The 26,482-nt window shown below is 40.8% G+C and overlaps 1 protein-coding gene across 4 annotated transcripts in view; it reads left to right on the top strand.

Moving 5' to 3' along the window:
* The window catches only part of DAB1 (DAB adaptor protein 1), a 1,551,949-nt gene that overhangs the window by 781,981 nt on the left and 743,486 nt on the right, over positions 1-26,482 (top strand). The window lies entirely within an intron of this gene.

Here is a 26,482-nt window from a genome sequence, read left to right as displayed (position 1 = left end):
AACACTCAATCTTGATGTCTCAAAAACTCAGGGCTATGAAATAAGCCAGGAAAAGAAAGTTAAATACCTCATGTTCTCACTCATATGTGGAAGCTAAAAACCACTGATCTTATGGAAGTAAAAAGTAGAACAGAGTATACTAGAGGCTGGGAAGGGTAGGAGGACAAGACGGATAGGGAGAGATTTGTTAAAAGATACAACATTTTGGCCAGATAGCAGAAATAAGTTCCAGTGTTCCTATATTCATCATTGTAGGAGGACTATAGTAAATATATAGTTTCAAATAGCTGGAGGGAGAATATCAAGTGTTCCAAACATAAAGAATTGATAAATGATTGAGATGATGGGTATGCTAATTACAATGATTTGATCACTACATGTTATATGTATCCACACATGACAAGGTGGCCCATAAATAGGTACAATTATTGTGTGTTAATTAAAAAAGGAGAATTAAAACAAAAAGGAAAAAACTAAAACCAAAACCCACTCAGGACTGAGCAACCAAATGGCAGCTAAGACCTGAATTCATGGCCCCTCTAGAACTGAAATGTTGCTATGCAGTGCTCTGGGACTGATTGCCTTCTTTGAGCTCTTTCAGTGTTAGAGTCAGTGAAGTCTCAGGCACCCATGGCTGGCTTTGTGCCCTTGGTCAAGGTAATTAACTTCGTATTCTCTGGCTTCTGAATGAAAAGGAGAATATCGTTATCATATATGTTGAGAGAACACATGTGATAGTCTTTGCAACTTACCTGAGTATGGCTACTCTTATCTACTTACCTGATAGACAAACTATTTGTAGTTGTGTGGCAATATCCACTAAATTCAGATTTTGATATGCAAAAATGGCCAGAGAGGTTCTCTTCACTCAGGACTTTATGGAAACAACAAAGAAGTTACATGAAAGTCAAACACACTATCAAGAATGAAAACCCTCCTGAAGTCTTTAATTCCGCTTACTGTACAGGGGATTCAGAAATCAACTCCTAGTTTCCTCGCACTTTAACCCTGTGATCAGGAGAATCATCTCTGTTTTGGTGTGGCCTGCAATTAATTACTTTTCTTTAAGAGATAAGGTCTTGCTTTGTCATTCAGGCTGGAGTGCAGTGATTCAATCATAGCTCACTGCAGCCTCCACCTCCTGGCTCAAGCAATCCTCCTACCTCTGCCTCCCAAGTAGTTAGGACTATAGGGATACACCACCACACCCAGCTAATTTTTTTTTCCTTTTTCTGTAGAAACAGGGTCTCACTATTGTCAGGCTTGTCTTGAACTCCTGGCCTCAAGTGATCCTCCTGCCTCAGCCCCAAAAAGTGTTGGGGTTACAGGCATAAGCCACCACGCCCAGCCTAGACAGATATTTAAAATATACTTCAAGAACTAAATCTTACCATTACTTTGCTAAACAGGTTTGATTCCCTACAGTGCAGACTGCAAACTTACTGGCTATGTATCTACACAAGCTCTTGCCTACTCTCTTTCCAAGTGTCCTCTTTCTATACTTTGCATTCTCTGTCGCACCTTTCAAAAAGCAAGAGGCATTTTAAATTTTGGGTGGGAGGAGAATTCAACCATTCAATCTCATTTGGGGTTCCATACAATGAAGAGAAATTTGGACTATGTGATACATCCTGTGTCGCATCGTTAATCATTTATTTTGCTTATTTTGCAATAGGGGAGGGAGTGGTAGAGTGGATGACAATGCCTACTTACACCATTTCTATCTTCTCTTTCATCCCTTCTGCTACCATATGAGCCCCTTAGGGAAGGATGGTGCCTTTCACTTCTGCATGTCTGACGTCTACGTCAGGGCCTAGCCCACATGAGGAACATAGTCAATAGCTGTTGGAATGAATAGTTGCTTCGAATTTTCCATCCTTGCCTTGGAGTGCAGTACAGGGTGTCATAGCACAGTGGGGTCAAGGATAAAGGACATCTCTCAGGGCGATCCAGGCTCTGGGCAATTCTAGAGAAGGTCGTGGTTTCCCAAAAATTTGTAGGCTGAGTAGAAATTTGTACTCTGAGAACAGAAGTCCCAAATTCTGGTCCACAGACTGGCATTGGTCACTAGTCTTCATTGAAATAAAATAAAAATGGGCAATATAGTGAGTTTTTAAATAAAGCTAAATTTATATTTTTAATCTAAGTTGATGCCCATTCTGAATTTTTTTTTATGTCTTGCTGCATTGAAAATAACCTTCTTTTAGAATTATGGTAAAGATAAATGGCAGATATTTTTCTTAATGCTCCTATCAGGAGAAAACATTGTTAACCTTACATTGCCTCCCCGTTTAGTTTAGTTTCATTTTGACATTTTTCCGCCCCATGTAATCTTTCTCAGGAGCAGTGTTACAACAGTGATTTATAATGAGACATGAGCCATTTTGAAAATCTGATCTAAAGTTTTATACCCTTTTCTCCAGAGAAACCCATATACGTATACACACACACACAAGCTTTTACCAGTAATTTTGGAAGGGACGCAGGCCTCTTTAAAATTATCCATGGACTTTTTAAGGACCCAGCAAACCCAAACTAAGAATACCTGGACCAGAGGAATCAACAGTCTTATTGTGAGAAAATTACTTTTTAAAATTCATTTGCTTATTAGTGAAATATTGAATATAAATAGAATTTTTCTATCACTACCTTTTAGGACCATTGAAAGTCCAGGGAACCAAGGCTTGAGATCAGAGATTTAATAGGTATTTTGAAAATGCAAATGACGCTCTGTCCATGGCAGCTGATACCAAGCATTTGAGCCAGTGTTCTGTGGGCACGGTGGGTACAGAAATCACTCTTCCCTTCGGCATTTTTTGCTGAGCATATGTTGTGACCCATCATCACCAACAGGGCTCTGCATCTCCCTGGCTGTCTGGGGGAGTCTTTTTGAAGGCATTTCAGCCATCTGTTTTGTGTTTCCTGTTCTCAAGAGTGCTTTGATGCCACGAGGAGATGTGACATGACATTTGGAATCTGGGCCCACGTGTCACAATGCCAAGGGCAGGGACAAACCTGGGTTGACTTGACTCTGGTCCGTTGTGTAGAGATGAACATGTCAATCAAATACCTCTGCCTGGGCAGTCATGTTCGCAGCTGGGCTGCTCGTATTTAGAGGGGAGGGGGAATGAGAGGGCTCAGAAAACTTCAGAAGAGAAAGACAATGCCCTCTTCTGCTCATCTTCCTCTGGGAAAGCCTTGGGGTAGAAGTGAAGACTGCAAGCTGGAGCAATGAAATTGGCAGCAATCAATAAGACCTCAGAATTGTAAAGATCGTCAAATCCAGAATTTCCCAAACTTCAGTTATCCAAGCCCCATAATCATGATTTTTTTGTTATCTGCATGCCACCAATAGTTGATTTTATAATTTCCTTAAATATTTGCTATAAATACAAAATAGATTAAAATAAAATAAAAACAAAGCAATCTTTTGAAATACTAGCTAGATACTGTGGCCTACAGAAGGCTCCAAACCTGATGTCTTCTAGTTCCTTGTTAAAATAGGAAATCAGTAAGGGATAGACACTTGTTAAAGGCACCAACTCAGACTTTTTCCTCAATGTGCTGGAAATAGTGAAAGCAAAATCAAAAGTGAATTATCATCACTTTATGTGCTTAATATTAGTTAATGCCATGTCCAAGAATTCACTAAATGTGAACACATAGATCTGACCCAAGTTCCTTATTTAGGAGTTGAAGAAGCTTAGAGAATGGGAAAGATTTGTCCAAAATAATCATGGTTCTATATCCCTCCTTATACTCATGTCATTTGCCAATTTTGCACCTTCTCCTGCTACAGGCAGATTGTAGGTGGCTGCACCTTGGCTTTGAGACTTGCTTTGTGACTTCCTTTGGCCAAGAGGATGCTAGCTGATGTGGTGTGAGCAGAGTCTTCAAATTTGTTTGCAGAATTGGGCTTGCTTTCCTGTACTTCACTGTCACCATGAGAAGGACATGTCATGGCCAGCCTCTTGGTCTAAGAAGGATGAGAGATATTTTGAGCAGACCTGGATCCAATCTGCAAAACAATTCAATATTGGACCCCAGACTGCCGACTCCCCTTTTTGGTGCAGTATGTGTGTGTGTCTGTGTGTGTGTGTGTCTGTGTGTGTGTGTGTGTGTGTGAGAGAGAGAGAGAGAGAGAAAGAAGTTGAGAGAGAAAGAATTATATGTAGAAGAGTAGAGAAGGGAGGAGAGGGCAGGGAGAAAAGAGGAAGGGAAGAGACGGGAAGGGAAGAAAGAGAAGAGAAGGGGAAAGAAAAGATCCATGTTCTTAGAGACCTGGGCCATATCTCATTCATCTTCTGTTTCCAGAAGTTACCACAGGCTCTCAAAAATGATAGTAGTAAAAAAAATGCTTTATATTTTATTTGACAGCTTTTAAATTCAAGAAGTATTTATTAAGGACTCTGTTATATGCCTAGGACTGAGCTAAATATACTTGGGAATACAAAGGAAGTTGTTTTGGGGCTGTGAGATATTACCATGTATCTGGGTGGCAAGGCCATACCTGCATAATGTGGCTTATTAGCAATTCAAAGCCATGTTGTTCCTGTGCATAAGTGACAAGTGCAGCCTTCCTCAAATATCATGGCACCCCTTCTGCCAAGCTTAGACTGTGCTATTCTCTCAGTGGACAGTGCAATCATTCAACACTCCATGGAGAGCTTCAGTTCTCCACAAACTTCATTTGTGGAGAATCGCTTCCTTCCGTTCCTCTTCTATTCCCTACAGACATTTCTATTCATGTTCTTTTTTTGTTGTTCTCTTTGCTGTTGTTTCAGAGCATACAAAGGTCCCTGTATACGTTCCAATGCGTTGCTCTTGTATGCAGTCATTCAGAAACCCAGGAATCATCATTCACATTTCCCCTCTATAATTGTTACCTGCCTGCACAATTGCGTGTAAGTTACACATTGAGCCCATTTTGTTGCACCTCCTTCACCGCCACCATGGTCAATGTCCCTATCATGTCTCACCTATTCTAGCTCCTAACTGGTTTCTTAACATCACCTCTGCCTAGTCTATTCCCCAAAGAGTAGGTGGAATAATCCTGTAGAATGTTAATCTGGTCATTTAATTCCTCTGCTGAAAACCACCTCAGTGGCATCCCCCTGCAATTAGAAAAAACAAAATGAAACAATGCAGATTTATTACTGTGGCCTAGATATAATACTCTGCATGATGTGGGCACTGCATAGGTCTATTTTGTAGATAAAACTAAGAATATTCCATACTACAGAAGTGACAACAATTTCAAGCCTATCATCATGCCAAAATAATTATAACCACCATCATAGTTACCATTTATTGACTGTATATGATAATATGCACATAATTAAGCTCTTTACACATACTGACTTATTTAATGGTCACAACAGTTCTATGAATTAGGTACTATTATTATCCCAGTTTTACATGTAAGGAAACTGAGGCACAGTATATTTAAGCAATTTCCCTAAGGCCACACAGCTTGAAAAATGACAAAACCAGGGTTAGATCCCAGACAGTGTGGCTCCCTTTACCACTATTGGGCCATGCAGTGACCCCTGGAATTGACAAAATGGAAGAAATATGATGAAACTGCCACCTGCTTGTCTATAACTATCATTTTCCTGGCTGGGTATCAGGCTATCTGTATCTTTTAACAGCTTAAGACAGCATAGTTTCTTCCACCTCCGGAGATGTCTGAACATAATAGCAGCAACAACAATGATTAGGAATCAACTGTTTAAAATTGATAATGTAGCTAAAGAGCTGAGGTGATCTTCTTCCAAAGAGGTAATTACAAGAACCCGGTGAGGATGGAAAGCATTTCACAGAAAATGGAATATGAGCAATCCTAACAGAAATGTCAAAAGGATAATGTGTTTTGTGAATGTTTATTGCAAACAGACAAAAGTAGGTTCAATTACTCATTGCAGCCTGTACATTTCTTTCTTTATTGGGTAGAAGACAGTCAGGTGTTTTGTTTTTCACAAAATAAAAAAAAAACAAAACTATTTTCCAGGATGGCATGGCTGTATTTTTAGCTTTGAAATTTTGATTGTGAATTTCTATGGCCTGTTAAAAAAATGCCAATGCAGCCTTGAAATATGAAAAAATATGATAGAAGCCGGTGAACATGATGAATCCACTGGACTTCATATACCACCTGTCCTTTGCTCCCTCCCTCCTCCAATCCCTGAGCTTTCTGAACACCTCATCTGTGATTCTGGGCACTTCTAAAGTAGAATCCGTATCCAGCACATGTCCCTACATGGTAAAATAAAAACAATCATCACTTCTCTGCTGTTGCCCCTGCAGGAGAGATTTTTTTAAGTCTATCTTCACTACTTCTTTTCCCCAAGTTAGGCCCTTTGGAGTGGAAATAAACATCATGGCCTTTGCAGAAAACTGAGTTTTAAATCTTAATAATAGTGTGACTTTGTACAAACTCTTTATCCTCACTGAGCCTCAGTCTCTTCTGGTATCTAGTGGAAATGGTGATGCCAGCATCATAAAGCAGTTGTCATGGTTAAATGAGATGTATTAAAAGTACCTAGTGCCTAGTAGTTCTTAACTATAATGATTTGAGCCCTTATTGGGTGCCAGACCCTTTACTTTTGTTATTCCATTTAATTCTATAAAGTAAAAATTATTATTCCCATTTGACAGATAAACTGAGTCTGGAGGCTGAGGCAGCAGAATTGCTTGAGGCTAGGAATTCAAGACCAACCTGGGCAACACTGAAAGACCCCATCTCTACAATTTTTCTTTTAATTAACTGTGCATGGTGACATGTACCTGGAGTCCTAGCTACTCAGGAGGCTGAGGCAGAAGGATCGATTGAGCCTAGAAGTTCAATGCTACAGAGAGCCTTGATCCTGCCACTGCACTTCAGCCTGGGCAACACAGCAAGACCCTGTCTCAAAAATAAAGAAAAATGAAGAAGCTGAGTCTCCAAGGGGTAAAATAACTTGCCTATTATGGCTTGAATTGTGTCCCCGCCAAAAAAGTTAAAATGGAGTCTGAACCCTCAGTACCTCAGAATGTGAACTTATTTGGAAATGAAGTCTTCACAGAAGTAATCAAATTAAAATGAGGTCATTAGGATGGATTATAATCCAATATGACTGATGGTCTTATTAAAAGGGGAAATTTAGACACAGAGACAGACATGCATAGCACAGCAGAGGATGATGTGAAGTCACACAGGGAGAAGATTACCATATGACTGCAGTGATGCACCTATCAGCCAAGAAATGCCCAAAATTGGCAGCAAACGCCAGAAGCTAGAAGGAGGAAGGGAGTATTCACCCTTTAAGTCTTCAGAGAGAGGACGGCCCTGCTGACAGATTTCTAGCCTCCCAAACTATAAGACAGCAACTTTCTGTTGTTTTAAGCCACCCAGTTTTTGGTACCAGCAGCCCTAGAAAACTCCTACATTGCCTAAAGTCACACCGTTAATAAGTTGCAACATGAGGATTTAGTTCCTGGTCCATTTGACTTGAACCCTGGGCTGTTAGCCTCCATCATTGCTGCTAAAAAAAAAAAAAAAAAAAAAATTCTGCCCCTGGGCCAGCAGCATGGACCTCACCTGGGGACTTTTTAGAAATGCAGAATCTCAGGCTCCAAACCTATAGAATCAGAATCTGCATTTTTACAAGATTCCCAGATGATTCTTAAGCACTTAAAAGTTTGAGAAACACTGCTATATACTACCTTCCATAGCTGATCAACAAATATTAATGACCTTCTCTTCTTCAGCTTCTCTTTTGTGTGCTATTGCAACAGGCTTCTGGTGGCTCTTTTTGTTTCTAGTATATTCTCTTTCCAATCTATTTTCCATTCTGCTCAGCATCCTTCCTTAATCTCCCAAGATTAATTTTGGCCCTTACATATGGTAGGGAAAGTGGGGGTACATTAAAAAGATTACAGGGTTTGGACCCTATTGAACTTGTTTTAAAATCCTGCTTTACCACTTAGTAGATGTAGAGAAGGCTACTTACTTGTCCTTTCTGGACTTCAACTTTTTTATCTGTTCCTAGTGCTGTTACCCTAGTAGAAGCTGTTATCATTTTTTTTTTTTATTGCCTGCAGTACGGAAGTGGCCTCATAACTGGACTTCTCATCTCCCCACACTGATCTCAATTTATTCTCCTCAAGGTGACCTTAATGATCTTTCCAAAAAGCAAATCTGATCATGTCATTTCCGATTAAAACCCCCCAATAACTTCCCTGCCCTTAGGATAAAGTCTGAATTCCTGAAGCTGGCTTCTTGTTATCTCATGCCTCTTGCCAACCCCCACTCCCACTTTCTTATCTATTCTCTGGGCACTCTAACCTTGCTTTACTTTCCCAAGTCAGTAATCACCTCTTTCAGGATTCTTCACTGCACTACACCTTTCTCCTATGAACTCCTATATCTCAGTGTGACTTCTTGGTGCTGTTCTGTGTCATGATATTAATCAAACTTTGTATTAATTTGCAAGTTGAGTTGTCTACATCCCCCACTATACTACATAAAAATGAGGGCAATGTGACTGTCATTATGTTATTTGGATCTCAGCACCTAGCCTTGTTTTGGTGTATAGGCAGCCCTCAATTTTCTGAATAGATAAAAGAAATCGGGAGATGACCCAGTTTTCGGGTGAGCATTGTGCATTCTCTTTAAAAAACATTTATTTCTGAAATCCCACTGCCATTTTACAGGTTAGTTGCCAGTTGCAGAGTAAGTACAGGAACGAGCAATATATTCTTTCCGAAATTTCTTTGTTCTTTGCCACATGATGCAGCCTCCTCGATCCTACCTCATTGCACAAAGCTAAAGTATTTACTCCTATTTGTTTTAAGTAAGGCCTATGCAATCTAATTGCTTATCAGATGCTTGCATTTAAGAAAGAAAAACTGGCTAATTAACGGGACCCAGTAATGACAGTATTAAGGATCAGAGCTCTGTACGTGGCAGCATGATGATGGAAGACACACAGTGGGATTTAGAGAGTCTTTGGGCTTTAAATGGTTTTATCATCCCCAGAGATGTATAAGCACCAAATCCAAACCTAACAAGAAGAAGACATTCTGAAGAGGATGAATGAACAGGAAGTTGATCCGTAAGACCTGAGAACATGTCACTCTGGTGCATTGTTAGTAGTAAGAAATGCTGAAAGTTTAAAGTTTGGTTGTTAGAAATACAAAATGAAGCTCATGAGCCATTTGTGAAATTAACACAAGAGTAACAAAAGTGGCAAAGTTTAAAAACCAGAAAATTTCATTCATGTGGGATCGACCAATTTTGTTCTCACATATCCCATGGCTCAATAAATTCTTATTGAATGAATTTCTCATGTCGGACCTTTACGGGAAAATATACATATACACACATATACAAACCTTTATTAAAAAGCATAAAAGAAAACCTGAATAAATGGAGAGTGTGATACCCTATTCATGGATAGGAATACTTTGTGCTGTAAAGATGCCACTTTTTCCCAAGTTGATTTATAGATTCAAAGCTACTCCAATCAAAATCCCAACAGGGATTTTTAGACAAATTGACAAACTGGGCCTAAAATTCAGGTGCAACAGGAAACGGCCAAGAAAAGCCAAAGATCTTTGAAAGAGGAGGAGAGAAAGAAAGAGAACTGACTGACTCTACTAGATACCAAGATTTACTTGGAAGCTATATATAATTTTGAGAAATGTTTTCTGTTTTATTGTGTGTTTGATTACCTTTTTACTTGCTTGGATTTTTTGTTTGTTTGTTTTTTGTAAACTGGTCATTCAGGGAACTGAGTTTTGGAAAACTTGTCTAGAGTCACTCTGTACTAAGGGATTGGTTTGGATGAAAAGTGAAAATGTGCATTGGGAATCTGCCGTCTTGGAGCTCAGCTTTGATATTGTAGGCTGGAGCTCAGGGCAGGGGAAAGAAAAGGAGGCCTGGAGTCAGATATACCAGGGCTGAGCCCCAGCTCTGCTCTCACTAGCTGTGAGACCTTGGACCAGTGGCAGACCTTTGAATCGCAATTGTTTTGTTCGTTTGTTTGTTTGTTTTGTTTGTTTGTTTGTTTATTTTAGACAGAATCTCCCTCTATCTCCCAGTCTGGAGTGCAATGGCACACTCTCAGCTCACTGCAACCTCCGCCTCCCGTTTTTTTTCAAGCGATTCTCCTGCCTCAGCCTTCCGAGTAGCTGGGATCACAGGCGCATGCCACCATGCCCGCCTAATTTTTGCATTTTTAGTAGAGACGGGGTTTTACCATCTTGGCCAGGCTGGTCTCAATCTCCTGACCTCAGGTGATCCACCCACCTCGGCCTCCCAAAGTGCTGGGATTACAAGCATGAGCCACCGTGCCCAGCCGAGTCTCAATTGTTTAATCTACAAAATTCAATTAAATAAAACCTAATTGGAAAAATTCATTGTTGGAGTACATTTGGCTGCTTTTAAAATCTATTTATTCAAATTAGAAATAGCTTTCCATAAAGTGGGAGTTGCAAACTCAAATATTTACAGGGGCCAGGCATATAATGCCCACGTATGTAGTAGCTGCATAAAAGATGATGGGGAGGGAATATCATGGCAAACTGTGAGTAAGCATAAAACAGAGCTGTGGCCAAATCTGCCCCCTTTTCTCCAGTTTGCAATTTCAGTTCAGGAGCAAAGAACCTGGCCTGGGACTCAGAAGAGGATGAGATAAGCTCTCATTCTTGCTCTGCCTCTGACAGTGGTGTGACCCACGGCAAGTTAGTTCACTCTCTGGGCTTCATTTGTCCACTTCTAAACTGGAAAGATTAGACTCTGTATGGGTGATTGTATCTCTGCGATTCTGAAACTCCTTTCTATGATTCTAACTTGTGGTTGTACTTGCCAGTCTTACCTCTAGAATTGGAAGTAAAAAAAGTTGCACTTCTAACATTGGAAGATCCAGGTTCAAATGCCGACTCTGCCATTTACAAACATGCCTCTTAAGAATGTCCCAGAACTTCACTGCACTTCAGATTCCACCACTAAAATATGAAAGAAGAGTAATTATATCTTCTTCACAGAGTTAGGGTAACAAGTGTGATGATGAGCTATAAAATGTTTTGCAAAGAGGGCAACAATAGGATGAAATGTGGATAAACATCATAGAAAGAGATGTAGATAAACAGTCTACCAGGTCACAGACACCTAACACCTTTTTGTTATTTGAAAATCCCGTTTTCATGAGATGTAGGCCCTGCTATTCCCATTTTACATATGAGAAAACAGAGATTTCAAAATGTTCAGTAGCTTGCCTAAGAAGTCAGAGAGCTACTAAGGAGGAGACCCAGACATTGGAATCCTTTCCTCCTGGTTCCGAGGCCCATGCACTTGTTTTTCTATACATTTCTTCCTCAGAGGGGTCAGCCAAGCTCACTGCCAGAAGTCTACAGTTCTCATTAGGTCCAGTGGCATGTCCAGAGAAATCCACTGAAGTCGAGGGTAGCAGGTACATTTCCAACCACCCATCAGTCAGCGCTTCGACCCCTATAAATGAGGCAGTCAGCCACATTTGTATAAAGTTGTGGGCTTTTTCTATGCTTCCTATGTTAAATGTCATGTTGAGGGCAGGCAGCCCAAGACTACAGTTCCTGGACATGAGCAAGAGTAGGCCAAAGACCCCAGGTGAACTCCCTCCTGACTCAGGCAGAACACAGCTGCTTCAAGGGATCACCTCTCATTCTCTTTATGAAACCAACATGCTGTTCCAGCCCCGGGGAACACAGGTCAGCAACTTCATGAATTACCCTTTTGCTTGTAATCCAGTTGCAGTGGTGAAATATTATGTTGCCTAGGGCAAGGCTATTCCTGGCTCTTAGTTTTTTAAATTACCAAGTTTCTTGTTTGGAAGGAAGGAAGATTTATTGAATGCCTACCAAGTGTCAGGCATGTGGCCACTCACTTTGCATTGATGACTTTATTTAACCCTTACAAGAACTGTATAAATTAGATTCTGTTACTTCAGTTTATCAGATGTTAAGGGGGAGGCTCAAACAGCATAAAGAAACTTAACCAGAAGCCACAGTTCAGTACATTCTAGAGCCTTGAATCATTATCCCTGGCTCTCAAACTCCAAAATCTAATGCTTTTCACACCACCAGTCTGCTCATCAGTGTGACACTGATGACAAATTGGCCTGTGAAATCAAATAGACTTTCATTTATTAATGATCTATAATGGAAGAAGACCTCTAGCCCAGCTAATAGAAAGCTTATTTTGTTTTATGAACAGAGAATAATTCATTCATTTGCTAATACTCCATCCCAGCTAAAAGCTGAGCCAAGCTTGCCTTTAATCTGTTATAAAGCATAAAAGCAACGATGTCCCCACACCCCATGCCTCTAGAATATCCCATTTGGGACCTGAAAGAATGGTGCTTCCTTTGTCTCAACATCAAAACCCGGCTTATATCTTGACAGGTGTATATATGGGTTGAAAAATGTAAATAAATAGAGAAAATCAAACCCCTTGGGTTGCCCAGTTGTCCCATTTGCCAAGAAAATGAAAGCAAGGATAACTTAAAATGAATAAAAATATACTCTCCATTTGGAAGTCTGAAACTGACAGTGTTTACCAGAAATTATATGAGCGGAGAACTCAAGCTTCTATTTGATTGTGGGTTTGAATCCGCGCCTGAACTCTGAGATTCTCTCTTTGTGAGCAATTGCTACTGCTGGGGGAATTGGCAGTGTGACCAGGCCGAGGCAAGGGATAAAATGATTAGGTCCAAGACTTCATTGCGAAGCTTCTTCCTCTGAGATTTAGAAGCCATCTCTGTTTCAGTCTCTTAATGTTTCCTGAACACCGTGAATTTCTCCAGGGGGCTTTACAGCCAGAACTGATCGCATTCAATTCTCCAGGGAGGAAACAGGCAGGTTTGTCTTATTTATTTATTTATTTATTTATTAAGTAAAGAATAGAAATGGAGAGGAGAGCCCCCTTATCTTTATTGTGGTGGTTGAGGAGGGAACCCTGAGAGTTTCCGGCCCTCAGCCTGTATCTCTTCCCTGTTGGATCTAACTGCCCCCGATAATTGTCCCCACCCTGCCTGCCTGGTTCCTTTGCATCCTTTCTCTCCCATGTTTTTCTTCTCCATCTTCCTTCTTTCCTTCTCCTTTTTCTCTGTCCTCTTCCATCCTCACCCTAATCTTCTGCAACAGGTTTTAAGCCTTTGATCTGGTCAGCCTCTTGTAGTTAAAAGTCACCAAGTCTCCCTCAAAGCAGTGCAACTAAAAGCAGATTTACTGTAAGGACTGGAACTGAAGAGTCATCAGGGCTGAGAGAGGGTGGCTGAGAGGTAGCATCCCCCTCCAGTTGCTGCTCAGGAGCCCCCTTTGTCTCCCCTTATAGACCCACCAGTGTCTCAGGACCTGCTTGCTCCCTTGAACTCAGAGTTGCCAAAACCCCTCCAGGTTGTGGCCCTGCCTTCTCCTCACCTATCTCTGTCTGCATCTGTCATTTTTAGCTCCTCCTTCTAGCTATATTATGCCCTTCACAGTTCCTAGTTTAGATTCTCAACAAGGAATCTGATGGCCACACATTTTCTCTGTGGTGCTCTCCTATTCTTCCCCTTCACCTCCTCCCACTAGGCCACCTCCCAGGTAGTCAGTCGGTCTGATCAACCTTTGGATTGTGTACCATAGGACCAGGTGCTCAGCAGTATCCAATCAGCTGAGGCTGAGCAGTAAGCCTCAATTGGCCACCTTTGGTGGCTGCCCCAAAGCAGCAGTTTGGAGGAAACAGTATCCCCCAGGAGGAGACTGGGGTGGGAATAGAAATATGATCAAAATGTTAAAAGCAGCCCTAGAGTCCTGAGACTTCTGACATCAGTAAATGAGAGGAGTTCGTGTGGCTAGAACTGCTGCATCAGTGATAGAATCCAATATTTTATTGAGCTGCAGTGTCATGTCAGGCGGTACAGATACAAAGATAAAGGGATATGACCTCTACCTTCAAGCCTCTCACAGCGGGTAAGAGAGGCAACTTGAGGATGCCTGCAGCCCGGCAAACAGAACATCTGGCTTTAAGACATCTGAGAGATCTAGTTTAGCCCCTTCTGTTTCCCAGGTCAAGAAAGAGAAGCCCACAGAAGTTAACAGACTTGCCAAGAGTTCCATTGGTAGTTATGGGTAGAGATTTCATTTCAACTACTATTTATTAAATATGCAATCTAGGGACTGGGATAGACCTTTTAACATTTATTATTTCATTGAATGTTTATTACAATAGTGTGAAGTAGGATTTATCTGGAGAAGAGACCTGAGTTTCAGAAAGGTTCACTGACTAACCGAGGGCCACTCAGGTAGGTAGGAGAAAAATGAAAGGTCTGTGATCTGTGTCACAAAGGCAGTGTTAGAAATCAGAAGTATAGCATCAAAATGTCTGTAACAAAGCTCACTGATGGGGTCTTTCCTGCTCTTTGAGAGAACACATACTGAATGGTTAGAAATAAAGCAGGAGAGAGGACATTTTTGAGAGCCTGGATATGAAAGGAATGTGATAGAAACACAAAAAGGGAAGGAGAGATGGCATCTTCAAGGTGATCAATACTAAATATGTGTTAATTGAGAGCTTTTGAATATCCCAGGAAAAGATCCATTTCCAGGTAAATAGGATGGCCCAGCAACAAAGGAGAGAAAGAATCAGGTGGGGCCTTGACTGTAGGCAGCACAGGGCTTGCTCAGTGCACCAATGAGACATTCCATCCTTATTTTCCTTACCCCCAAAGCCCTCTGCTTGACCAAAAAACTATTTGAAATATCATGTGTATTGATTTTTTTCACCAGGATGGATTTGCAATGTTTCCTAAAATAAAAGCATCCAGAACAAGATGAGAACTGAGCTACTGGCATTTGCAAAATTGAAAAGCTCTGCTGGTCAACTGAGCAGAATGCAGAGGCAGGATAATGTTTTTTGGTTGTAGCATCTCAAGTCCACTTCTTGGCTTTGGATTTTTTCATCTTCCTCTTTCCTTTCCATTTCATTTCCTTCTATTCTCCCTTTCTCTGTTCTACTTTCTCCCATCCTCTTCCATCTCCTGCCCTATGTTTTTATAGCATAGTACATAGAATGGGGATCATCACTCAAATTGCCACATGGATTAAGGGGCCACTAAAATTAAGATGTAACACTACAGGGAGTGGAGAGGACTGTGGACAACTGGAAAGCACATGCCCTGCGGCTTACTGGGGGCAATGGCTACTCCGTTCCACCTCATTGTCACCATCCCCAACTGTGGACCTGGTGTTGCCAAGGCTTCCAACTCTTCAAAAGAACCTGGAAATCTAGATATGTCTTTTATGAAATACCATGAATTTAAAATGTTATCAATTAATTCAATTCCTTTTCACATTCTTACAGACTGGTAATGACTTGTAGGGCACTGGCTTCTGACTACTAGTCTACAGTAAGAAACAGTTGAAATCCTGGCTTCAGGACTTCTAGCTGTGTGACTCTGAGCACTGTCTCTTAACCACTCTGAGCCTTAGTTTCACTGGCTGTCGGGTAGTGGATAAGACAGGATATCAAGTGCCAAGCTAACTGCCTTATGCAGAATAGATACACTGTCAATATAATTCCCTCCCCTCACTTCCACTCCATCCCGTAGGGTGACCATGGTGTTTTTAGTCATGTACACATCTGATTCCAGAGAATATTCAGTCCATAACAAGACCAATGGCTTCTCCAACATCATCCTGAGTTCCTCCTGCAAATAATTGAATCACAAGAGCTCCCAGTGTGTTCTCACTCAGCTTTGCTGAAAGCCATTTCCCAAAAATGCATTTTATGTGGGCAATGAGTCTCTATTCATGCACAATTTCACATGAAAAGATTTGCCCTTTTCATCGTACGCATGGCTTGAATTGGCCAGCCTGCATGAAAAGATTTCCATTCATTAGCATGCCAAATGATGTCACTGGCCTGGAACATGGGTGGATATTGCTATAGACTCAAAGAATCCTACTCTAAAGATTCTCAGAAGAAGCCACCTAGTCTAACCTTCCACACAGTAGTCCTTTAAATGCAGCTGAAACCTCTCCCTAAGGTGGTAGGGGCTCACTATTCTGGGAAGCTGCCCTGACCACTCTAGTTATTTGAAATGTCTCCTTGTATCAAATTTAAATCTAAATTTCAGTAACTTCTGCCCATTGCCTTGGCTCTACCTTCCAGCAATACTGAGAATAAGTTTTGTGACAACACTAGTGATATCCAATTAAATAAGCATAATAGAGAATTTATATAACACATGTGCCAAGAATGTTTTAGATTTTTAACATACATTTATTTATTTAACATGCACAAACACTCTATAAGGCATGTAATAATCGCATTCTCATTTTAAGAATGAGAAAACTTGAGGCACAGAGCAATTAAATGGCATGACCAAGATCTCATGCTCCCAAGTGGGAGAGTCAGGAAGGAAGTTCAGGCAGTCTGGCCTCATGGGCTTAAGGACTGCAATATTCTGCCTCTCTATGGCAGAATAAATGAATCACACCTGTACCTGCACCAAAGTTTAGTATTGGGGCAAGGTCTTTGATGTTGCCCAGAGGACATATTTTACATCTACCACTTCTTTGCAGAGTGAGCTTTGGTAAGCCACTCTGTATCCTAGACATTTTAATGAGGGTTATGCCTCTTCTCAAGTGTCTTAGGAGTAAAATCTCTGTAAATTGCCTTGAGCAGTGCCTGGCAAGTAGTAGGCATGTGATAGATTTTTGTTGAGTCAACAATAATGATCAAGACTCTAGACCATGCTTTACCAAGTCCTTCCTCTTTCCTTCTATAGCAGACTTTCCAAGTCTTTAAACTTCCTGCTCAGCCTTCCAGCGACACTCTATTTTTTCTGTCCCTTTAAGCATGGATATTTCAGTGCCAGTTGGCCTAGCTCAGAATACAATGGTATTCTTTTTTTTTTTTTTTTTTTTTTTTTTGGACAGAGTCCTCCTCTGTCGCCCAGGCTGGAGTGCAGTGACGCGATATTGGCTCACTGCAAGCTCAGCCTCCCAGATTCACGCCATTCTCCTGCCTCACCCTCCCAAGTAACTGGGACTGCAGGCCCCTTCCACCAATCCCGGCTAATTTTTTGTATTTTTAGTAGAGACAGGGTTTCACTGTGTTAGCCAGGATGGTCTTGATCTCCTGACCTTGTGATCCACCCGCCTCGGCCTCCCAAAGTGCTGGGATTACAGGCGTGAGCCACCGTGCCTGGCCTACAATGGTATTCTTACTAATTTAACTCTCTATTCCCATCATTGCAGCCCAAGACTGTGCTGATACACTTCTTTCTCCTCTCTCTCAAGTGTCTATTCTGTTCCAAATACTACATTAGTAGCTGAAGACAAATGTGTGAATTAAGACAAAAGCTTTGTCCTAAGTACCCCTCAGGTAGAATAAAATACATGCAAGAAAGTTATGGATAAGGGTACAAAGAGGACAGGAAGGAGAAGGACAACCCTACTCTTCCAAGGTTGGGGCAAGCACATAAAACATTTTTGAGTGAGGAAGGCAAGGGCAAGAAGGGGCGAATATGTATGGTTTAGAACTTTGGGAGAACTTAAATGTCAAAAACCAAACCTTAAAATCATTAAACTCATATGAGACTATCTAAATGGTCTTCAAATGGGTCATGGAGAAATTCATAAATATGACAAAAAAGCATAACATATAAAGGATAAGACTGGTAAATTTTACTACTTCAAAATAGAAAATGAATGTATACCAAAAAAGAAAAACACAAAAAGCCAACGTATAATAAGAGATGTTGGTTATGTGGTCACCCACTTGAAAATATTTTCATCATATATAACACAGGGCAAATATCTAGAATACACAGAGAAACATTAAATCAGTACGTAAAAGACAAAAAAAAAATGGTATTCTTAGCCCTCCATATCCATGACTTCCACATCATGGGTTCAACCAATCACAGATTGAAAATATGAAGGGGAAGGAATAACAATATAACAATACAAAATAATAGAAATAAAAATGATACAATATAACAACCATTTACATAGCATTTACATTGTATTAGATCTTATAAGTAATCTAGAGATAATTTAAAGTATACGGAAGGATATCCATAGTTTTTATGCAAGTACTCTGCCATTTTATATAAAGGATTTGAGCATTTGCAGATTTGGGGGTTTCTAGGGGGTCCTGGAACCAATCTCCTGCAGACACCAAGGGAGAACTATATTTAAAAAATGGGTAAAGGAAATGTACAGGCAATTCACATAAGGGAAATCTTAAGTGCAGATAAACATACTCTCAACCTTAATAATCTGGGGAATTCAAATTGAAATAATAACAAAAAATACAATTTCTCATCCATCAGATTAGTGAGTATTTAAAGGTGTGACAAGATCAAGTGTTGGTGAAGAAATAAATGGGACTCATCATATCCAGAAAAAAAATGAAGAAATATACATTGATAATATACCCTTAAAGAGCAATTTGGCTCTCTGAGGATATGCATTCCTATGACCTAGTAATTCTGAAAATACACACATACAGATATATACCTATTTATACTTACACACACGTATACAGTAGAGAATATTATGGACATGTGCATGGAAAGACATGGACCAGAAAATTTATTGCAGTCCTATTTATAATTTAAAACATTTAAACCACCTGTATGTTCATCAATTGGGGAAAGGATCGCTAAAGTGTTTACATAATGAGACAGTTAAAAAGAATAGACTAATGGTGAGATCTGAAACATGTAAGTTGAATTTTAAAATGTGCACAATGATATGTAGTGTATGTACAGTATAATACTGTTCATGAAAATCTTCTTTAAGCCACTCATAAAGATAAATCAACAACTTATGTTGTTCGTACATAAAATGTATAAATAATAGACTATTAAAGATATCCACTTAATTCATGAAAGTAGTGGCCACTGGAGAGGGAAGAAGAGATGGAACTGGCAGTGACAATCAGAGGGGACTTTAAAGTTTGAAATGTTTGATGTGTTTATTTGAAAAAGATTTAAAACAACTGTGACAAAAATCTTAGAAATTATCACTTACTGGCAGTTGATTCGGGAATGTTTATTTTATAATTCATTGCATTTTTGGTAATTTTTATAAATGTCTCAAAAACTTAAATATAATCCCAAGAGAAAAAGAGCTCCTTTAAAAGTCATATCTGGTTGATGAGTGAAGGTGGGGAGGTAGGTCAGTTGCCTAGGGTTTTTTCCCTGGAATGGCTGTAGTATAATTCAATTCCAGCTCACTGTAAAGAAAAGTAACAGAACAATCCAAGTGATCTCTGGATATAGACTTAACAATCCTCACAGAAATGAGTAGTATAATTGTTTGCTAAAAATCAAATATAAAATATTAAGCAAATTAAGTGAAATTAAGAAAATTTCACTTTTGTGTATTTAAACTCATCTAATTAAAGTTTCAACAAACATTGGTGAGCCCTACCCCTGTTGAGGTCACCATGCTAGATGGAAGGGACACAGATAAACAACTTCCCGGGAAGTAGAGCACCAACGCCACACTTTACTGGATACATTCCCTTACCTCCAAATCTCCCTGCCACGAGTTTACTTTGGTAAATATTTCCCACAAAACACCAGAAGCAGATATTACTATCCCTAATCTATAAATAATTATATTGACATTCAGTAATTTGCCCAAGGTCATTACCAATTACTAAATGGCAGAGTTCATTCTCAGACTCAGATTTTCTGACATGAGATTCATATTGCTAAAATAGACATTGGATCATTTAAGAAATGTGAGACTAGTGCTCCTTAGAAATGTACAGGGTTCTGTGAAAAACACAGTTTTCCAAACTGTGTTTTTTGTCCTTGAAACTGAGAAAGAAAATTGCAGGTGGAACTAATAGTCTTTGGACAGCCGGCCTGCCTCCCATTTAGCTTTTGTTCCTACTGGACAGGAACCATGTCCTCGGCCATAGTTTCTGTGCTGAGGATGTATGTGCTTAAATGGAGAACACGCCTCACACCTGCCAGTGGAGAATGGCTACTTGGCAGGTCTGTGAGTACCTCATCGAATCTTCTTTGTTCAGAGGACACTTGCTCATGTGGACAGCCCAAGGAGCAAGATGCCGAGGAACAAAAGACATCGGAATCCAGACCCCCAATATCATAGTTTTCTTTCCACTTCCTCGGTGACTTCAGCCAAAATAACTTCTCTGATCCTTAAATTACAAGTACTTAGAATGGTGCCAGTTCTTCGTTTGCCGATATATTAAGGAGACTAAATGAATAAAATATGTCCAATAACAAAGTCATTGTTGAGCTTTTTTTTTTTTTTGAGACAGAGTTTCACTCAAATGGTTTCTCTTGACCCTCAAGGAAGCCCTGTGAGATAAAAAGAAAAATTCCTAAAATCTGCATCTTTCAGAGGAGACTCTGAGAAGTTACACAACACTACATAACACTACATAACTACTACGTGGTTCTCTGCTCACCAGAGGTATCTTTAGGCTAAACCTGCATCCTGACAGCCTGTTCACCAATTATCATTCTAATGGATGCCAACAGCCTTCCGAAGTTGCCCAGTGGTTTCACCTGCTTCTCAGAGTCATGTTGGGAGCAAGCCCCCCAAAATCCTGCCATAAACTGGCCCCAAAACTGGCCATAAACAAAATCTCTGCAGCACTGTGACGTATCCATAATGGCCCTAATGCCCAAGCTGGAAGGTTGTGGGTTTACGAGAATGAGGGCAAGGAACACCTGGCCCGCCCAGGGCGGAAAACTGCTTAAAGGCATTCTTAAGCCACAAACAAATGCATGAGGGATCTGTGTCTTAAGAAAGTGTTCCTGCTGCAATTAATTCAGCCCATCCCTTCATTTCCCATAAGGGATATTTTTAGTTAATTTAATATCTATAGAAACAATGCTAATGACTGCTTTGCTGTTAATAAATATGTGGGCAAATCTCTGTTAGGGGCTCTCAGCTCTGAAGGCTGTGAGACCCCTGATTTCCCACTTCACACCTCTATATTTCTGTGTGTGTGTCTTTAATTCCTCTAGCGCCGCTGGGTTAGGGTCTCCTGGACCGAGCTGCTCTCGGCAGAGTCAGGTGAAGCTCGGCACACACCTGTAGGCCCTGCTCAAACACGTTCTCCATGGGTGATACCTGGAAAGTACCCAGGGCTGGCCCCTGGATGACCTCGGTCAAGGTACCTTTCACGCGCATCCGTGTGGAGAGACCACCAAACAGGCTTTCTGTGAGCAACATGGCTGTTTATTTCACCTGGGTGCAGGCGAGCTGAGTCCGAAAAGAGAGTCAGCAAAGGGTGATGGATTATCATTAGTTCTTATAGGTTTGGGGATAGGTGGTGAAGTTAAGAGCAATGTTTTGCAGGCAGGGGTGGATCTCACAAAGTACATTCTCAAGGGTGGGGAGAATTACAAAGAACCTTCTTAAGGGTGGGGGAGATTACAAAGTACATTGATCAGTTAGGGTGGGGCAGAAACAAATCACGATGGTGGAATGTCATCAGTTAAGGCTATTTTTACTTCTTTTGTGGATCTTCAGTTACTTCAGGCCATCTGGATGTATACGTGCAAGTCATAGGGGATGCGATGGCTTGGCTTGGGCTCAGAGGCCTGACAGTACCCTTTCTGAATGACACCCTTGCTGCTCTTTGAACTCAGGACAGCCTAGGGACAATAAAGGAGCAGTTGTGAACAAAGAGTCTATGACATGGCATGAGTTGTTTCTACATCACCAATAACCGATGTCTACATCAATAATTGCATACACACCTCCCTGTGTATACAGCGGCACACAATACAAAGGCATGGGTATGGCATACTTTGGGTATTAACTCTCAGCTTGGTCTCAGGACCTTCTTGCCAGACAGTCTTGATTTTGCACTTCCACACCTTCACACTGGTGCTTCTCACTGCCCAGATACCATCCTGGGTTGCCCTGGCTTCTAAATCCCACCACTCCTTCAGATGTCAGCCTTTGCATCATTCCTCATCATTCCTGCCCTCCCAACTCCAGATTCAGTTGTTCCCAGGCATATTCCCAGACAGCCCTGTCCTTTTCCTTTTGTGATGGGTAACACATCAAATGGATAATCATTGTCCTTGTCTGTGCTAGGGGAGGAGCAACAGGCCTGTGGAGAGCCCAGAAATTTCCCGTCTGTAGGCCCATATTTGTATTTTTACACAGAACCAGGTTCCTAGCTTGGGGCACTCCTACAGGCCTCCTGCCCTCCTTTATCATGTCACTATCATAAAGAGAGTGGTTTGGGGCTCAACACAGCAGGATGGTCCCTCCCCATTATATCTCACTGACACCAGCCAGGGTCAGGGTGACTTTGCTGGTTTTTCTCCATCCCCCATCCTTTTGATCCCACATTTTGATAGAAAACTATTTTTCCTTAAATTCATTATTAACATTGTTTTTGAAACACCATGAAATCTACTTTTATATTTTTATTTTATGGTCCATCATCTGCTGCTGCCTGCGCCTTGGTTTCTCCATCTGTAAAATAAGAGAGTGAGAGAAGACACATCTCCAAGGCCTTTCCTAGGCTAATGTTCTGAGTCTGAGAAATGCATTAGTGGGCTGAGGAGCCCAAAAAAAATCCTTGTATTCCAAGTGGCTATCATCTAAGGGTCATATAAGGCAACTTAAATGAACACTATTTACTATATTCTGAAATATTTTATTACCCTACTTTTTATTTCCCACTTTCAACCTGCTCCAGGTGGTTGAACCTCCACCCCCATGGGCCTCTTAGAGGATTAGTGCTCCTGTGGAGATCCAATACATAGCACTCGAAAACTGTAACAAGGGAAAGTTTACAGTGATTACAATCTATTTGCCTTTACCTCATCTTATTACAGGTTATACTTGTATATTAACTTCATCATAATTCTCTGATTACCAAGGAGTTCAACTGAGGTCCTGGGTCTCTCCAGTCCTAATTAACCTTGTCCAGCTGAGCTCGTGCAAGACTGAAACATCACTACAGTATTTCTCACTCGGCAGTGGAAGCAAGAATGATTCATTCTGAGAGCTCTGTCTTCTTTGCTGCAAACTATTTGCATACTACGCAGATTTCCATAGACCTAACGTTTGGCAAGTCCCAGAAGCAGTCTGCTTTCACTCCCTTCACCTACTTCTCTGAGAAATGGCTGAGCATTATTCAGTAAATGGTCCCAACTGGGAAACTGACATCACTTCCTCATGGAACAGAATTTAAATCTAGACACTTTGAGAGGCAGTATGGTATAGTGGCTGTGTACATATTCTTGGAACAGGTAGGCTACGTTTTAAGCTAATGGTTGCTTTTGGAAGAGTTTCCCAAGGTTTCTAAGCCTCAATTTGTTGGTCTATCAAATGGGAATAACAATAGTACCTACCGCAGGATTATTGTGAGGATAAAATGAAATCCATTAAGTTCATGGCATATAAGAAACATTCAATACATTTTATTTTTTATTATTGTTAATATTAATAATTGATATTTGTGGAATGATGGAATAGTAGAGAGGAAACAGAAGATTTATTTTATGAATAAGGAAATGAAGTAGGCAAGAAGTGACTTTATACCTTCTGTAGACATTTGCCAAGGAGCACTCAGCATGACCTAGTCCCTCAGCACTTAAAATTTAATGTCTAACGCTCATCTCTACCCCTCAAACAATAAGATGTAGTCGTTAACTGTGCCTATGGGATCAGAGAAGGCTTTCCAGAGGAAGTGTCAACCAAATTGGTCTTAATGAATCAGTTTCATCCTTCAACACCCCACCTCAATCTTTAAAACCAAGCTTAAGTGTCCCCTCCTCCATGAAGCCCTCCTTTACTCCCTCCTTTCTGCCCAATACGTCGTTAACCATTTTCTCCACCATTTAATTTCTGTACTTTGTCTATACTGACACATTTGCACATAAAATCCACACAAAAGGGGAGATTTCTTACTTCTCTGCCAGTTTTTTATTTCACTAACACACAGCCCAGTGCGTGGAAGACAGCAGACAATCAGAATCGCCGACATCTATGATGTGTGAACTGTGTAGAGGCACTCTTCTAAGTTCTATATTTACATACATTTACTTAACCTCCCCACAAATCTGTGAGGATGCTGAAACACGAAGCAGTTTAGGGATTTGCCCAAGATTACTCAACAGCCAGGATTTGAACCCTAGCACTTAGGGAAACCCTTGCTCCTAACCATTATGTAATACTTCCACATAAGTGTTCACTGAACTGGACACTTTAATGTTTGCCAAGTGCTAGGCACTTTACATGTATTATTTTATTTAATTTTCAGTACAATACTCGGATGTGGGCTGTATTCTAGTACTGAGGTCTAGTATCTTTATGTACCTTGCCCAAGAACACATGGATAGTAAGTAAGAAACCAGAGTTTAAATCCAAGCCTGTTATCACCAGAGCCTGAAACCTTGTCTACTACCCCAATATTTCCAAAAGTGTTATGTGGGCATTCCTAGTGCCATATGAGATTATTTTTATGTGGCTTATGGATGATTTTTAAAATATTATTATTTTTGAGACAGAATCTTGCTCTGCCACCCAGGCTGGAGTACAGTGGCATAATCTCGGCTCATTGCAACCTCTGCCTCCCAGGTTCAAGCAATTTTCATGCCTCAGCCTCCTGAGTAGCTGGGACTACAAGTGCATGCGACCACGCCTGGCGAATTTTTTTTTTTTTTTTTTGTAGTAGTAGTAGTAGTAGAGATGGGTTTTTGCTATGTTGGCCAAGCTGGTCTTGGACTCCCAGCCTCAAGTGATCCACCTGCCTTGGCCTCCCAAGGTGCTAGGATTACAGACATGAGCGACCACGCCTGGCTGAAGATATATTATTTTAATACTTGTATATTTGTTATAATGCATGCTACAAAAAATTTGACTAGATTCTTAAACCCATGATTTTACTGATGAAAATTCTTAGGATGAGGAGGCTGGAGTAGATTTAAGTGTTAGATTGTGTCATTTGAAAAACTGTTAAGTAGGTGGGTGTGGTGGCTCACCTCTATAATCCCAGCACTTTGGGAGGCCGAGGCAGGCAGATTGTTTGAGATCAGGAGTTTGAGACCAGCCTGGCCAACATGGCGAAACCCTGTCTCTACTAAAAATACAGAAAATTAGCCGGGCATGGTGGCACATGCCTGTAGTCCCAGCTGAGCTGTTTGGGAGGCTGAGGCAGGAGAATCGCTTGAACCTGGGAGGGGGAGGTTGCAGTGAGTTGAGATTGCATCATTGCACTCCAGCCTGGGGCGAGGGGAGGGGAGGGGAGGGGAGGGAAGGGGAGGGGAGGGGAGGGGAGGGGAGGGGAGTTGGATTATGGATATGAGAAGTTGGTGCATAGACGACCTGAGGTTCAGGAAGCTGAGTGTTATTCTTCCCTGACTCCTCAATATGTGAGAAAGATAGTAACAGAAAGAAATGTGAGAGCACTTCAGATGAGCAAAGGTGTGAAGTCAGGTTCACACAGGTATTGTTCTGAACTTGTCTGCCTGGAATTCTGAACTTTATTCAGTAGAAAATGGAGAGCCCACAGAGATTTAGGACCAGAGGTGGATGACTATCTATTAATATTTATCCTTTAAAGTCATTGTGTGTTTATTATCCATCTGGATTTACAATAGCTTGACAAGATCAATGGGTAAACAATATCACAAATATGTATTAGCTGACAGCCCCCTAGCCATCCTGCTCAGGAGACAGCGCTATAAAACCTGAAAGGTGATGATGCAGGCTGTGATGTGCATAAGTGATTTAGGGTCTGCCTCTACCATTTACCTGTGCACTTTACCATTTAGGGCATTCTCCTCCTTTTAGAAAGTTGTTTCCAACCTCGAAGTGTGGCAATCTTGCATCTTCCTCTATTTGAAATCGTAAAACTAATTGAACAATTCCTTGAACCTAATGGCTTTGGAAAAATCAATAATTGCCTCCCGTTATTGATATAGTGGAAGCACATGGAAGAAATTACCCAAAACAGAAATAAGGCAGTTAAAATAAATAATTCAACGAGCTGTCTGGCAGTATGCAAATTTTGAACTTGAACAATTACATGGAGTTTCTTAAGTATAAATAATCAAAGAAATGCACTCAGTGCTGCCAGGGTGTGCACTAACAGTACAGGAGCAAAGATATCAATTCCTGACACTCACCCCACTGTTTGGACTGATAGACTTACACACAAAATATATTACACAACAAGAAATAGGTTGTTGGCTGTAGGGTGTGGGGTTGGGGGTATGTGTGGGGTTGTGGGTGGGGGAGAGATGACACTGGCTCCCAATTAGTGTGATTAGTATTTGAGATTAGATCATGGTGTTAATAATTATATGTTACAAAGTGCTGTCACATCCACCTATATCTCGCTATAAATCAGCTAGATATTTTGCAAATGGGGAAACTGGAGACCAGCAACATGAATTGACTTATAATTTAAACTATAGCATAGGTTTGCACAGTTTTCAATTATTACTAG

Source organism: Homo sapiens, chromosome 1, assembly GCF_000001405.40.
Source record: "Homo sapiens chromosome 1, GRCh38.p14 Primary Assembly".
Taxonomy (NCBI): domain Eukaryota; kingdom Metazoa; phylum Chordata; class Mammalia; order Primates; family Hominidae; genus Homo; species Homo sapiens.
The sequence above is the reverse complement of the archived record's forward strand: the minus strand, read 5'-3'. Positions and strand labels throughout refer to the sequence as shown.